This window comes from Homo sapiens, chromosome 2, assembly GCF_000001405.40.
Source record: "Homo sapiens chromosome 2, GRCh38.p14 Primary Assembly".
NCBI lineage: Eukaryota > Metazoa > Chordata > Mammalia > Primates > Hominidae > Homo > Homo sapiens.
Genome location: NC_000002.12, coordinates 61,180,528 through 61,193,335, shown reverse-complemented (window position 1 = coordinate 61,193,335; position 12,808 = coordinate 61,180,528). Strand labels below are relative to the sequence as shown.

The following is a 12,808-nucleotide window of genomic DNA, read 5'->3' as shown; positions in this document are numbered from 1 at the left end:
CCACCCTATGAAAATTATCTAATAGGCAGAGTGGTACCTTAATCCAAGAAAGATTTGGAGCCACTTGCAGTAACTTTTTCTTTTCCCAGATAAAGTTCTAATACTCAAAAAAGAAGAGTTGATTTAAGTCCCATATCCTTCAGGAATGAGGTATAGGATATAAATAAATTCAAAGTACCACATTCTAAGATATTTCACTAAACATTGGAATGAATTTTTCCCCTTTATGTACTTTAAAATATAGAAAATATGCAGTTATGACTAGAAATAGCTGTAATATTGTACCTGCAGAGTTGAGTATCTCACTAGTATAATTTATAATTATAACCTATTCTGATTTCTTTTCAAATATTAGGTGTCCTAGTTGCCTATGAAGGTTTGCCACTTCATCTTGCACTGTTCCCCAAACTTTGGACTGAGCTATGCCAGACTCAGGTAAAGAAAATGAGTTTTAGATGATTGGTCTTTAATCTTATCTGACCAAGTGGTCAATAATTTTAGGAACAGTGGGTTGAAGACTTGCTGAAAAGTGGGGACATTTTAGAATCTTGATAGGTAACATATGAATGAATGAAAATACTAGCTATTACATATTAGGCATCTAGTTTCCCTTTGATTTTTTTAACTTAAGTAGATTTCTATCATAGAGGATATTTTAAATAAGCTGGTTATAATTGAATTTCTCATTTATAGATGTATATCAACAGTTGTGGGGAAAATCCAAAACAGGGAGATAGTGGGGGAAAAGGCACTTGCCACTTCTTCCTCTCCTTCACCTCCCTGTCTCTACCTCTTTTCCACCATTCCAAAACCTCTAGCAGAAACCCTGTCAGCAGTCTGTCCTTTAGCTTTTCATAATCTGTAGTTTTTCAGGGGTCTGATGCACTTGTTTTCTTACAGCGATCTCCTTGAAAACAGGAAAGATTACTGTTCCTACCTTAAGTGTCTAAGAGCCAACTCCTTAAAATTAAGTGGCTGCATAAATAATGCTTGTTAAGTTACAAAGGCAGAATTGGGAAGAGGAGGAGGTACTAATGTTTGGCTCATTCCTTGGATCAGGCATAAAGGATCCCCACTACCTTTCAGTCCCTGAAAAAACTGTTGATTGTACTGCCTGGTTGCATCTGCTCTACCCCATTGGAAGAGATGAATTTATTCACCTTCCTTAGGTGCAACCCTTGACCCACATCATGCTTTCCTGAAGTATTTTGAGTCTGGTTCAGCCTCCTACCAGGCTGTAGTGTGCTCTGGATTCTCCTAGATGTTTGCCATCCTGTACTCTACTGGTGGTTTCTCTACTTTTCCAAAACAGAACTCAAGTGTAGAGACCTTATCAGAGTCATCTCCATCCCCTGAAGAAATGCCACGTTGTTCTCTACAGTAGAAATCTTTCAGAGGCTAGTATACACTGATCTTAGCTCACTTGACTTAGCATACAGTAGGCATTCAGAAAATGACTTTTATCAGTTGATTTTTGAGCTGAGTGTTCTGTTCAGTCAATTGGAGATCTCGTTTTCCCTCTCCACTGCTACTGCTGTTCTTTTTCATTCTTCCTGATTTGGGTAGTTTCTTGGTTTCTGTACTCTCCCACTACCTATTGCTCCCTATTGCTTTCTCTACTTCTGCATCGCAGGACTCCCTTCGCTTGACTTCTTTCACAGACAGAACTCACTGTGCCCCCAAATTTCCCTTAAAACAAAGCCTAACCATATAAGGCCTCCAAAGCTTCCAGTGCTATAGAAGCAGCCATCCTGAGCAAGAAACAGAGGCAGAGGCACAGGCTGTGACTGGTAGACCAAGGCAGGTTTTTCCTAGTGTTAAGGATCTCAAGACCTGGGTCTTGGTCCTACTTGAATCCTAATTTCTTGACTGACCTTGAGTAATTTACTTATGACAGCTGCATACTTTAATAAGATATACACATATGCATATATATATATATATAATCTAAATTTTGTCCTATTTAAAAAATATATTGCTTTTTTCCATATAAATTATTAAAATGCACATTTAAATCTATGGAGTGTATCTGCTTAAAGACATACTACTTGTGTTTAAGAGCCATGACTATTTGAAAACAGGAAAACCAAATTTTAGTAAAATTTCCATATATTGAGACCACTGATTCTGTGTGAGATAATTAGGAAAGAAGATTTATTGTTTACCCTTGCAGTGTTTATGGGGGGAAAAGGTATTTACAGAATTACTGTTGCTAGCGAGAATATACAGTAAAGTTTAAAACATTTTGGAGAATTGATTTTGATTCTTAAAATGTGTCTTTTTGCAACATATGCTCTGGTTACCTATAAATACATTAATTTGGCCCTTGAAAACATTCACATCCTATTCTTTGTTAGCCTTATTTTTCCAGTCCTTGTTAACTCTCTCAGTGCTGGATAATAAACCTGCATTTCTTTTAAAACATTTGTTCAGTTTCGGCATCAGTGTCTTCCCCCAGCACTCCCTTAATCTAAATTAGTAACATTTTACTGTATGAAAAATAGTTGCTGTTAACTAAAAATTCAATAGGTGAGTTAGACATGGCTTTTCAAGTAGGATTTTCAGTGGCTTCAGATTCCATCATACACAAGTGTATGTTTTTTCTGTGTAAGTTTTTTCCGTGTAAGTTTTTTCCGTGCTCAACCGTAAGTGCTCAACCATCTTCTCCCCACTTTAGTCTGCTATGTCAAAAAACTGCATCAAGCTTTTGTGTGAAGATCCTGTTTTCGCAGAATATATTAAATGTATCCTAATGGATGAAAGAACTTTTTTAAACAACAACATTGTCTACACGTTCATGACACATTTCCTTCTAAAGGTACGTAGTACTTTGGAAACTCAGTGTGTCATTTCTAATTAGTTAATGCTTGTGGTTTCATTATGCTGGTCTTTTGGAGATTTTTTTAAATCTTCTTTTTCAGGTTCAAAGTCAAGTGTTTTCTGAAGCAAACTGTGCCAATTTGATCAGCACTCTTATTACAAACTTGATAAGCCAGTATCAGAACCTACAGTCTGATTTCTCCAACCGAGTTGAAATTTCCAAAGCAAGTGCTTCTTTAAATGGGGTAAGAACTATGCAGAGGCGGCGGCACACACTTTTAAACTGTCCTTCAGTTAACTGTGTGGCCTTCATATGATTTTACTCTCGTAACTTTAACTTACTGATTCAAACTCTTAAGCCATGTGCGACAAAAAAACAAGTTTTAAATACACGTTTACTATGCCTTGTATGTACACAGCACACTCTATCACCTTGGAAGCTACAAGCTGGTATCATTAAATGCTGAAAGGTAATAAAGGGAACATCTTAGTGGTCTTATCTCTAGTTGGGTATATTTTTGGAAACAATACTTGTGATGTTTCTATTACTGCCTATGGCTCCTATGTAACTGAAACAATTAATGATCTACTGATTTAAAAAAGGCAGTTAAATCTAGAGCATTAGTTGCCTTGTGCAGACTCCCATGACAGCCATGTCCTAGAATAATGGAACACTCTGGAAATGGGCTAGAATGTTGAGCAGCAGCCTCCCAAATCACAGTATGCATAAAAGCCAAAACAGATGACAGAGCTCAGTAAGGAAGACCTTACTATTTGTGACATCCATCAGAATTTTAACTTGAGAAACTGATTTCAAGGTTTGTTTTTAAAATTCTTATATTTCCTTTTCCATTTTTCAGAAAACACTATTTCAGGCTTTGGTCTGACTTACTGGTTCGTGGGCATAAAATAATGCTATTAGTGACTTTAAGAACTAATGAGGCTGGGCACGGTGGCTCATGCCTGCAATCCAAGCATTTTGGGAGGTCGAGGCCGGTGGATAACGAGGTCAGGAGATTGAGACCATCTCAATGGCCAACATGGTGAAACCCTGTCTCTACTAAAATAGAAAAAATTAAGCCAGGCGTGGTGGCGGGCGCCTGTAGTCCCAGCTACTTGGGAGGCTGAGGGAGGGGAATCGCTTGAACCCGGGTGGTGGAGGTTGCAGCGAGCCGAGATTACACCACTGCACTCCAGCCTTGCCAAAGAACAAGACTCCATCTCAAAAAAAACAAAAACAAAACAAAAAAAAAAAACAACTAATGAAATGCTGTAGTATCTTAACACTGGCTTTCTGGTTTTATCATTCTAAGAATCCCAGAGAAACCAGGGTATTCTTAGGAAAGAATGGATTCCTGGGAAAATAAACATCTGCAATTAACTGTAAACAACTGCATCAAAGTGTTGGCTTTAGAATTTGAAATGTTCCTATCTGGGTTTTTGTAGGACCTGAGGGCACTCGCTTTGCTCCTGTCAGTACACACTCCCAAACAGTTAAACCCAGCTCTAATTCCAACTCTGCAAGAGCTTTTAAGCAAATGCAGGACTTGTCTGCAACAGAGAAACTCACTCCAAGAGCAAGAAGCCAAAGAAAGAAAAACTAAAGGTTAGCTTTATGGACTACTATCATTACCTTTAGGGTGGGAGGAGGGAGTAATACACTTGGTGTAACTGGTTTAAGAGTTGTGTGTTCAGCTGAACCTCCTAAATATAAATGCTAGAAACAAAATTAACTTCCCACATCCCCCCCTAACGTGATCTTAATGACTTTCAGAGAAGTTTCCCTTTTGGCATGTGTTTTCACAGATGATGAAGGAGCAACTCCCATTAAAAGGCGGCGTGTTAGCAGTGATGAGGAGCACACTGTAGACAGCTGCATCAGTGACATGAAAACAGAAACCAGGGAGGTCCTGACCCCAACGAGCACTTCTGACAATGAGACCAGAGACTCCTCAATTATTGATCCAGGAACTGAGCAAGATCTTCCTTCCCCTGAAAATAGTTCTGTTAAAGAATACCGAATGGAAGTTCCATCTTCGTTTTCAGAAGACATGTCAAATATCAGGTCACAGCATGCAGAAGAACAGTCCAACAATGGTAGATATGACGATTGTAAAGAATTTAAAGACCTCCACTGTTCCAAGGATTCTACCCTAGCTGAGGAAGAATCTGAGTTCCCTTCTACTTCTATCTCTGCAGTTCTGTCTGACTTAGCTGACTTGAGAAGCTGTGATGGCCAAGCTTTGCCCTCCCAGGACCCTGAGGTTGCTTTATCTCTCAGTTGTGGCCATTCCAGAGGACTCTTTAGTCATATGCAGCAACATGACATTTTAGATACCCTGTGTAGGACCATTGAATCTACAATCCATGTCGTCACAAGGATATCTGGCAAAGGAAACCAAGCTGCTTCTTGACATTAGGTGTAGCATGTCTACTTTTAAGTCCCTCACCCCCAACCCCCATGCTGTTTGTATAAGTTTTGCTTATTTGTTTTTGTGCTTCAGTTTGTCCAGTGCTCTCTGCTTGAATGGCAAGATAGATTTATAGGCTTAATTCTTGGTCAGGCAGAACTCCAGATGAAAAAAACTTGCATCTTCAGTATACTTCCTAAAGGGCAATCAGATAATGGATATGTTTTATGTAATTAAGAGTTCACTTTAGTGGCTTTCATTTAATATGGCTGTCTGGGAAGAACAGGGTTGCCTAGCCCTGTACAATGTAATTTAAACTTACAGCATTTTTACTGTGTATGATATGGTGTCCTCTGTGCCAGTTTTGTACCTTATAGAGGCAGATTGCCTCCGATCGCTGTGGTTCTTATTATCAAAATTAAGTTTACTTGTATACGGAACAACCACAAGAAATTTGATTCTGTAAAGAATCCTCTTTAGCTGTGGCCTGGCAGTATATAAATGGTGCTTTATTTAACAGAATACCTGTGGAGGAAATAAAGCACACTTGATGTAAAAATAATTGTTTTATTTTTATTGACATGACTGATTGATTGATTGCTATTCTGTGCACTTAATTAAACTGATTGTGATGACTTTTCATTTGTTTACATACGTTGCTTCAGTCTTCTCAGGTGAAAGTAGTGAGAAAACCGTGAAAGAGGGGGGAAACATTTATCCATTATATGCTGTTTCACTGGAAGTGTTACCAGCAGTCCACAGAACTAATGTGTCCCCACAGACTTCTCAATCCTCTCCACACCGAAGTGCAAAACCACAGCAGGGAGATGTGCAGGGAGATGTGGAGCAAAACACAGCCAATTTGCCCTCACCTCAACATGCTTTTGAATGCAATATACCACTGTTTTACGACCTAAGATCTACACACCTTAAAAACCCTAAAGTAAAATAAAGGAATAGTGTCAACATGCCATTTATTTTTTGTCATCTTGAACTAAAAGTACAGCTGCAAGCAAGCTTGCTATAGGACAAGCTTCAGCTTGGGAAACATCAACTATCTGCACTCAGGACTTACCTATTTCCAGAGGAATATCGATGGAAGGTCAGGTTAATACTTAATTTCAGGTTGTTTGCTACTTTTAAATCAATGCAGTGTCTAGTTATAATAAAGAGTCAAACAATGCTTTACATTGTATATATGTTCATAGATTTCATCCAATATAAAATAAAGACAGTCCTTTTAAACAAAAGATAGGGAAGAGGTAAATGTGACACTTTTTCCGCTTACAAAAAGTAATGCCTTATAATAAATTTTAATTCAACCATTTAGGGGGGTCAGCTGCAGTGAACCTTTTATTTCTTCAAAATGCTGCTTCTGCCAACAGAATTTCATGTTCTCTTCTTTACAGATAGATAGGAACTCCTTCAATTGTAATTCTGTTTGCCCTAGAGTAGGCACAAAATTCAGTGCAACCATGGCATAGTGTTCTAAGAAAAAAAATAGGAACCTTATTACTGCATTATGAAAAGGAAAATTTATCCATACGAAAAACCTAGCCTTAGTGTTTTGGGACCTTTAATATGAAGGGCAGTAATTAGTAACATACCTTCTGGCCAGTTCCCACATCTCCATTTCATGATGATCTTCTTATTTGTTAACTGAAAAGAGAGGGGAAATTCCACTGAAAATCTTTTAAGACTTCCCACAATACAACACAGAAAAATCCTTTCATTGAAACTCCTAGAAGAATCAATGAACAACATACGGTCCTTCTTCCAGTTTATACATCAGCACCACTGATAATTGTCTTTATTGCCAAAATGTCTCAGAACAGCAGTAACATCAAGGACAGCAGGAATATATAATAATGTTTTAAGTACAGTAATAGTAACCAGAACAGAGGGCTGCTGTTAAGGTTGAGGCAACACAGACCCTCGTGATTTCGGTGCTAAAAACAGCATATACAAAAAGTAATATTAAGAGTTAATCCCACCTTACTTCTTCAACCTTGAGTCTACTTACCAATCCTAGATATTCACCAGTGATGTTCCCATCAAACATCTGGAATTTCCCTCCCTTTTCAGTTTCTAATACAGCAGTAGATTTAGAAAACTTTTGCACCAACTAACCAAATAAAACATGTTATTCCAGTACACACTAACACATAATATAATTATGAAATACAAAATATAACAATTAATATGGTTTAAAAATCCTAAACATGTAGCTTTTACTTACAGAAAATAAAACACAAACTCTCTCTTCCTAGAGGGAGAAAACTCAATGTAATGCGGACATAGTCCCAAAGAATGCCCATCTCCCCTCCAATTATTCAGAAACTATGCTCAGACTTCTGTCACCACCATCCCACATCCCTTCAATCAAAAACACAGCCACAAGGAAAACCAAAAACCAGCTCCTGTTCTTTGTAATGTATTTTCTCCCAATGTCAGCACTTAACATGCTAGCTTAGGGAGTTACTTACCTCCTTTACAGTGAAGATGCTATACAGCTGCTCTACAGTTGTGTCAAACAGTTCCATCATGTGAAGAGCCACAGTGGGAATCCTTACACCCAGTGCCACTGGAGATGAGGCCTGAACCTGGAGAAGGGAAGAGGTTCCAGGGAATGATTAGCATAACAAGAGAGAAAGCTGCTTGGATTACAATAGTCTTCTCAGTAAAACATCAAATGTCCCAAATTCCATACTGCCTATTCCAGACACACATACAAACAGCATGAAAAGCCTTTTTAGCACCACCAGTCTTGGTCTTTACTTTGGAACCAGAGCTCACTGTTCCTACAGCTCTTCAGCTCTGTTCCCAGGTCATATATGACTGAATACCCCTCATCCTAGCTGGACTTCCAGATACAGCCGTGAGCAGGTGAAAGACAACTGCAGCTAAAGCTAAAGGGTGTCCATTACACACAGAACACCCATTCCAAGAACAGATCTAAACTCCCAGTCCAAAAGTGAGCAAAGAAGTTTCTTTTATTATGCTATGTGGATCTTGAAAGTCATCTGGTTCTGTGGCCTACCAAAGAACACTGCCCTTAGGACACTCTTGAGTCAGGTATTTATCCCAAAGAAAGGCGTGTCTGTAACAATCCCTTCCATCAAGAATCAAAGTCTCATTTTATCATTTGCACAACAAAATGGGAGATCTTAGAGGACTCACGGGAGACTCAAAGGCGGAAGAAGGCCCTCGCTGTCCTCAGTTCTCCATCAACACGGCCATTCGGAGCCCTGACTCAAACACTTCCTTTACCCCTTCCCTACATTTTGGCCAACAGAGCTCATACCTGCAGGGTATTCCCACTCAGTTTTCTTTTGACAGTCAATTCCTGGGTTGCCATAGCTTTCGTTGGTAAAATCATTCCCGTTGTAAATTCTATAAAGAAACAAGGGAAGTGGTTTTAGTAAGGACCTTTCTCCTTTTAAGCACAAAGAGTAAGGTAGAAAACCCAAAACAGCATGTAAGAAAATAAAACATTTATAAAAATAATTCCTATAACATTTTGAGAATTTCAAGACCATTCCAAGTTTTTACATATAAAACTACTGATGATTAACAATGTGAGTTCCACAGCAACAAATGCCTTTTTTTCAAATGCCTCACTTTTATCAAGTTTTTGCTAAAGCAGCAAAATTTTCCAAAGTTCTTTTCCAAACAGCTAAGTTTTATATGATTAACTACTAATAGCTTTGTGGCTCTAACCTACTGTCAAAACAGACAATTTCTCACGTGAGGGTGACCACTGCCTCACAAAGCTTGTCTTCACAGTATTCAAAAGCCTGTGAGCCAGCTATATGTGCGCTCTCACGGGAAAAGTGACAACCCCAAACCCATCTATGCCAACACCTAGATACTCAGGTGGTAGGGTCCAAGAACGAGGTACAGAGATAAGGCACTGCTGGCCATCTTGCCTGCCTCACTTCTCTAATTTAGGGAAGACAACAATAACCTCACTTCCATGCAATGCGGATATTATCTAGGTATTTCTCAATTACACCTGTAATACCTGCAGTCACTTTCATCCATTCATTCATTCATCCAACAAAGATTTATTAAGCACCTACTATGTGCCAGGCATTGTGCTAGATGCTGGAGATACAGCAGTGAACAAGACAGACACCTTCCATGCCCTCATGGAGCTTATAGTCTAGCAAGGAAGTCAGACATTAAACAAGTAATTACACGAACAACTGATTTTCATTCCAGAAAACTACAATTAACAGTTCTGTAGGCAAAATGGTTCATGCTGTGTACAATACTAATTATCACTAATTATGGTCTTAACGATGACTAGCTCTCAACTTCCAGACTACAATTTATTCTGAAGTATAAACTTGCTTCTGGAGCCTCTGACCACAGTGTAGAGTATAACTTGGGTAAATAGAAAAGGGACCCCTCTGATTCACAAGGGATGCCTTCTTTACCCGTCTTAAGTGCCTTCAGGTAATCTCCAAGGGCCTCCCTGACCTTGGCAGTGCCTGCAGTTTTCATAAGATCCTTCAGTATAACCCCATCTCCTTTCTTTTTACTCAACGTTGACCTACAAATCAGAAAAATAGAAACCAAAGAAAGATCTGGTTTGATGTATTCTTACAACATTGGGCTGTATGGATGAGAGAACTATGGCAGTGGAGGAAGGAAAGAAGTAGATGTAAGAGATGTGATAGGGCAGGATTTTAAGGGTTTTTAATCCAGGGTCCATGACAGGGTTGGGGGCCAAATCTTGCATGGACTTCATAGAATGTAAACCCTTTAATTTGCATACAAAGTTGTGCATGTGTATGTATATAAATCCTATTGCTGATGTGGTCCATGGCTTTCATGGGGTCTAGAAATGCACTGTCCAGTATGGTAGCCACTAGTCACATGTGGCTACTGAGAACCTGAAATATGGCTGGCCTGAATCAAGATGTGCTGTGTGAAATAATACGTGCCAGACTCCAAAGACTTACTACCAAAAATGAATGTAAAATACCTCATAATTTTTATATTAATTACATGCTAAAATCTTTTTTATATATACTGGGTTAAATAAAATATATTATTAAAATTAATTTCACCTGTTTATCTTTTTTTTTTTTTTTTTTTAAGAGCTTGCATCTCGTTATGTTGCGGAGGCTAGACCCAAACTCCTGGGCTCAAACAATCCTTCCCCTCAACCTCCCAAGCAGCTGGGATTATAGGCATATGCCACTACACCTGGCTTTAATTTTTTTTTAAGGGTCTCCCTGTTGCCTAGACTGGAGTTCAGTAGCATGACCATGGCTCACTGCAGCCTCGAACTCCTGGGCTCAAGTGAGCCTCGTACCTTGGCCTCCCAAAGTGCTGGAATCACAAGTGTGAGCCACCATGCCCAGCCACAGCTTTAACTTTTTAAGTACGGCTACTAGTAAAACTTACACTGCACATGTGGCTTGCATTATATTTACATGGAACAGTGCTGGTATAGAACCCAAAAGCCACCGTAATTAGGGAAATCAAGTTCCCATACAACCCAGCCTTGGATTATATACTTTTTTGGCAGAGAGGAAAATTGGGAAAGGGAGAAGAGTAGAAGACAGGCAGAGGGAAGGAAGAAGAGAGGGAAGAAGGGGGAGGCCAAGGGAGAAGGAAGCAACAGAGGGCTGTGGGGATGTCTCTAGTATTCCCAGAAGAAAAAGGGGTCGATTTGAAAAAATTTAGTGTCCCGATGCTTCAGTTGAGGGGGGCCTGATCTCGGGCCCCAGTTTGAATCTAAAGAGTTTGTTCCGTAATGCTACTGAGAGATTAAATCTTAAAAACCAGTTAAACATTCTGTTGAAAAATTTCTCAGCTGATGGATCTGAATATAACAAAGTGGAATCTCAGGCCCTGAGCAGAGGAACCACATAACTGAAGACAGAGGTCTGGGACAGCCCCCGGCCTGTGGCACTGCATAACCTTCGTGCCATAAGACATACTGCTGGGCAGGAGTCAGCCTATCTTGAAAAGCCTTCATGTTAAATACGTTCACAAATCAAAAAAAATCCTTTGTCAGACTATCCTCGTTTGAAAAATATAGCGGCTGTACAAATGGTCTCACCCCCAAAACCCAGCTTTCAGCCAAAAGAGGGCACTAACTTGAAGCCAAGCATGGGAGTTACACAAGGCTCTGTCTCCCAAGAGAACCAAGAGAGCCACAAAAGCAACACGTACTAACTGGGTAGTTTACAAAAAACCGTGAGGCATAACCAAGGGAGAGATAGCAGCTAAAGGCTGAGACTTTTCACCATTAAAGGGAAACGGCAAAGGTGCAGGAGAAGAGGGAGAGTCACATTCATCAAGCCATGCAAGCTGCCTGAGCAGTTTACAGTGCACACACTGTCACATCTAACGTGACAACACCCCTGGAAGAGAAATTAACCCCTTTTCACAGATGAGGAGGCTAAGGAGGGTGCAGCCAGCTGCCCAGGCCCCTTGCCTGGTCCTCGGGGGAGCTCAGGGCTTCCTGGGGCTTACTCTCTTTCCTGTACCACTCCAGCTCCACACAACACGCTGCCCCCACAGTACGGCAATCCTTCTCGGCAAACAGGCCCTCCACAAGGCACCCGAACTACCACACAGGAACCACACAGTCTGATCAACACTATTTGAAATGCCCAATGTCTGTAGCAGAAGCTTGACTGAAAAAAGAACAAAAGAAATAGAAACTTGATCACATACCTCAGTGTCATCTACTTCATTTTCCTCAGAAAGATTGGGTATTTCAATCAATCCCTTGTGCTTCACTCCAGATTCTTTAACGATGCCTAAAATGAGCAAAATGGGTTCTTCAATTATAATACAAAGTAACAACTGGGCCAGGCACTGTGGCACATGCCTATAATCTCAGCACTTTGAAAGGCTGTGGTGAGGATGGATTGAGCCCAGGAGTTTAAAGACCATCCTGGGCAACAGGGAGACACTGTCTCTACAAAATAAAATTATCTGGGCATGGTGGCGCACACCTGTGGTCCCAGTTACTTGGAAGGCTGAGGTGGGAGGATTGCTGGGAGGTCAAGGCTGCAGTGAGCCTTGTCTCAAAAAAGAAAAAAAAATTGATTTTATGAAAAACTGCCCTACCTCACTGAATAGCTCAGCTGCCCTCACAGGGTTCCACCACTCCAGGGCCCCCTGAGCAGCCACGGAAGAAAGGTCAGGCAGGCCATGGCCAAGGAGAGGGCATGAGGAGTCAGCAGTCCGCCGTCCTGAGAGGAGTGTGGGGCAAGTGCACCCATATTCCTCTTCTTGTCCCAGGGTACTCTTTGCCTGGGCAAAGCAGGACAAAGGAGTACCCTGAAGGGGAGAAGCAGTCACAAAAGCGATGGAAGGACAGAAAGGGACAGTACGTTCTGACCACGGAGGGGAGGGAGGCTCTGGCTTGAGGGCATTGTGTGGGGGATACCAGGCAGGTAGACTTCTCTCAGGACTAGAGTGTTGCCTCCTCCCCAGTGGGTCCCAGTTGCCACCCTAGAGACTCGCTGCTGGAGGAGAGCAGCTGGGAGGTGTTAGGACAAGCCCTAACAACCCGTCCTCTGGCTGCTGCCTGGCAGTGGCTGGGT

General features: G+C 40.7%; 1 protein-coding gene and 1 pseudogene across 7 annotated transcripts in view, besides 1 other annotated feature; one reads left to right on the top strand and one right to left on the bottom strand.

The window, feature by feature from the left end:
- The window catches only part of USP34 (ubiquitin specific peptidase 34), a 283,625-nt gene extending 277,752 nt beyond the window's left edge, over positions 1–5,873 (top strand). Inside the window, exons 76-80 of the mRNA NM_014709.4 lie at positions 356–435; positions 2,678–2,818; positions 2,922–3,065; positions 4,267–4,426; positions 4,627–5,873. Of these exons, the coding sequence (NP_055524.3) occupies positions 356–435; positions 2,678–2,818; positions 2,922–3,065; positions 4,267–4,426; positions 4,627–5,234 (1,133 nt within the window). The 3' untranslated portion in view covers positions 5,235–5,873. The remainder of the gene's footprint in view (positions 1–355; positions 436–2,677; positions 2,819–2,921; positions 3,066–4,266; positions 4,427–4,626) is intronic.
- The window catches only part of AHSA2P (activator of HSP90 ATPase homolog 2, pseudogene), an 11,508-nt pseudogene continuing 3,110 nt past the window's right edge, over positions 4,411–12,808 (bottom strand). For 2 of the 6 annotated variants that reach the window (NR_152215.1, NR_152211.1), the window contains 5 exons: positions 11,931–12,016; positions 8,536–8,624; positions 7,718–7,834; positions 6,839–6,890; positions 5,785–6,719 (listed from right to left, as the gene is read on the bottom strand). The product of NR_152215.1 is annotated as an activator of HSP90 ATPase homolog 2, pseudogene, transcript variant 1 (transcript). Of the gene's footprint in view, positions 5,428–5,784; positions 6,720–6,838; positions 7,835–8,535; positions 8,625–9,673; positions 9,790–11,930; positions 12,017–12,808 lie in introns of those variants that run through there. The other 4 variants (NR_152213.1, NR_152212.1, NR_152210.1 and 1 more) reach the window with 4 other exon arrangements.
- Positions 12,266–12,808: part of an enhancer, noted in NCBI's record as "H3K27ac-H3K4me1 hESC enhancer chr2:61407627-61408205 (GRCh37/hg19 assembly coordinates)", that runs on past the window's edge. NCBI's record gives its function as "activates a minimal SCP1, AML or CMV promoter by ChIP-STARR-seq in primed H9 embryonic stem cells {active_cell/tissue: H9 hESC(primed)}" and the evidence as "EXISTENCE:reporter gene assay evidence [ECO:0000049][PMID:30033119]".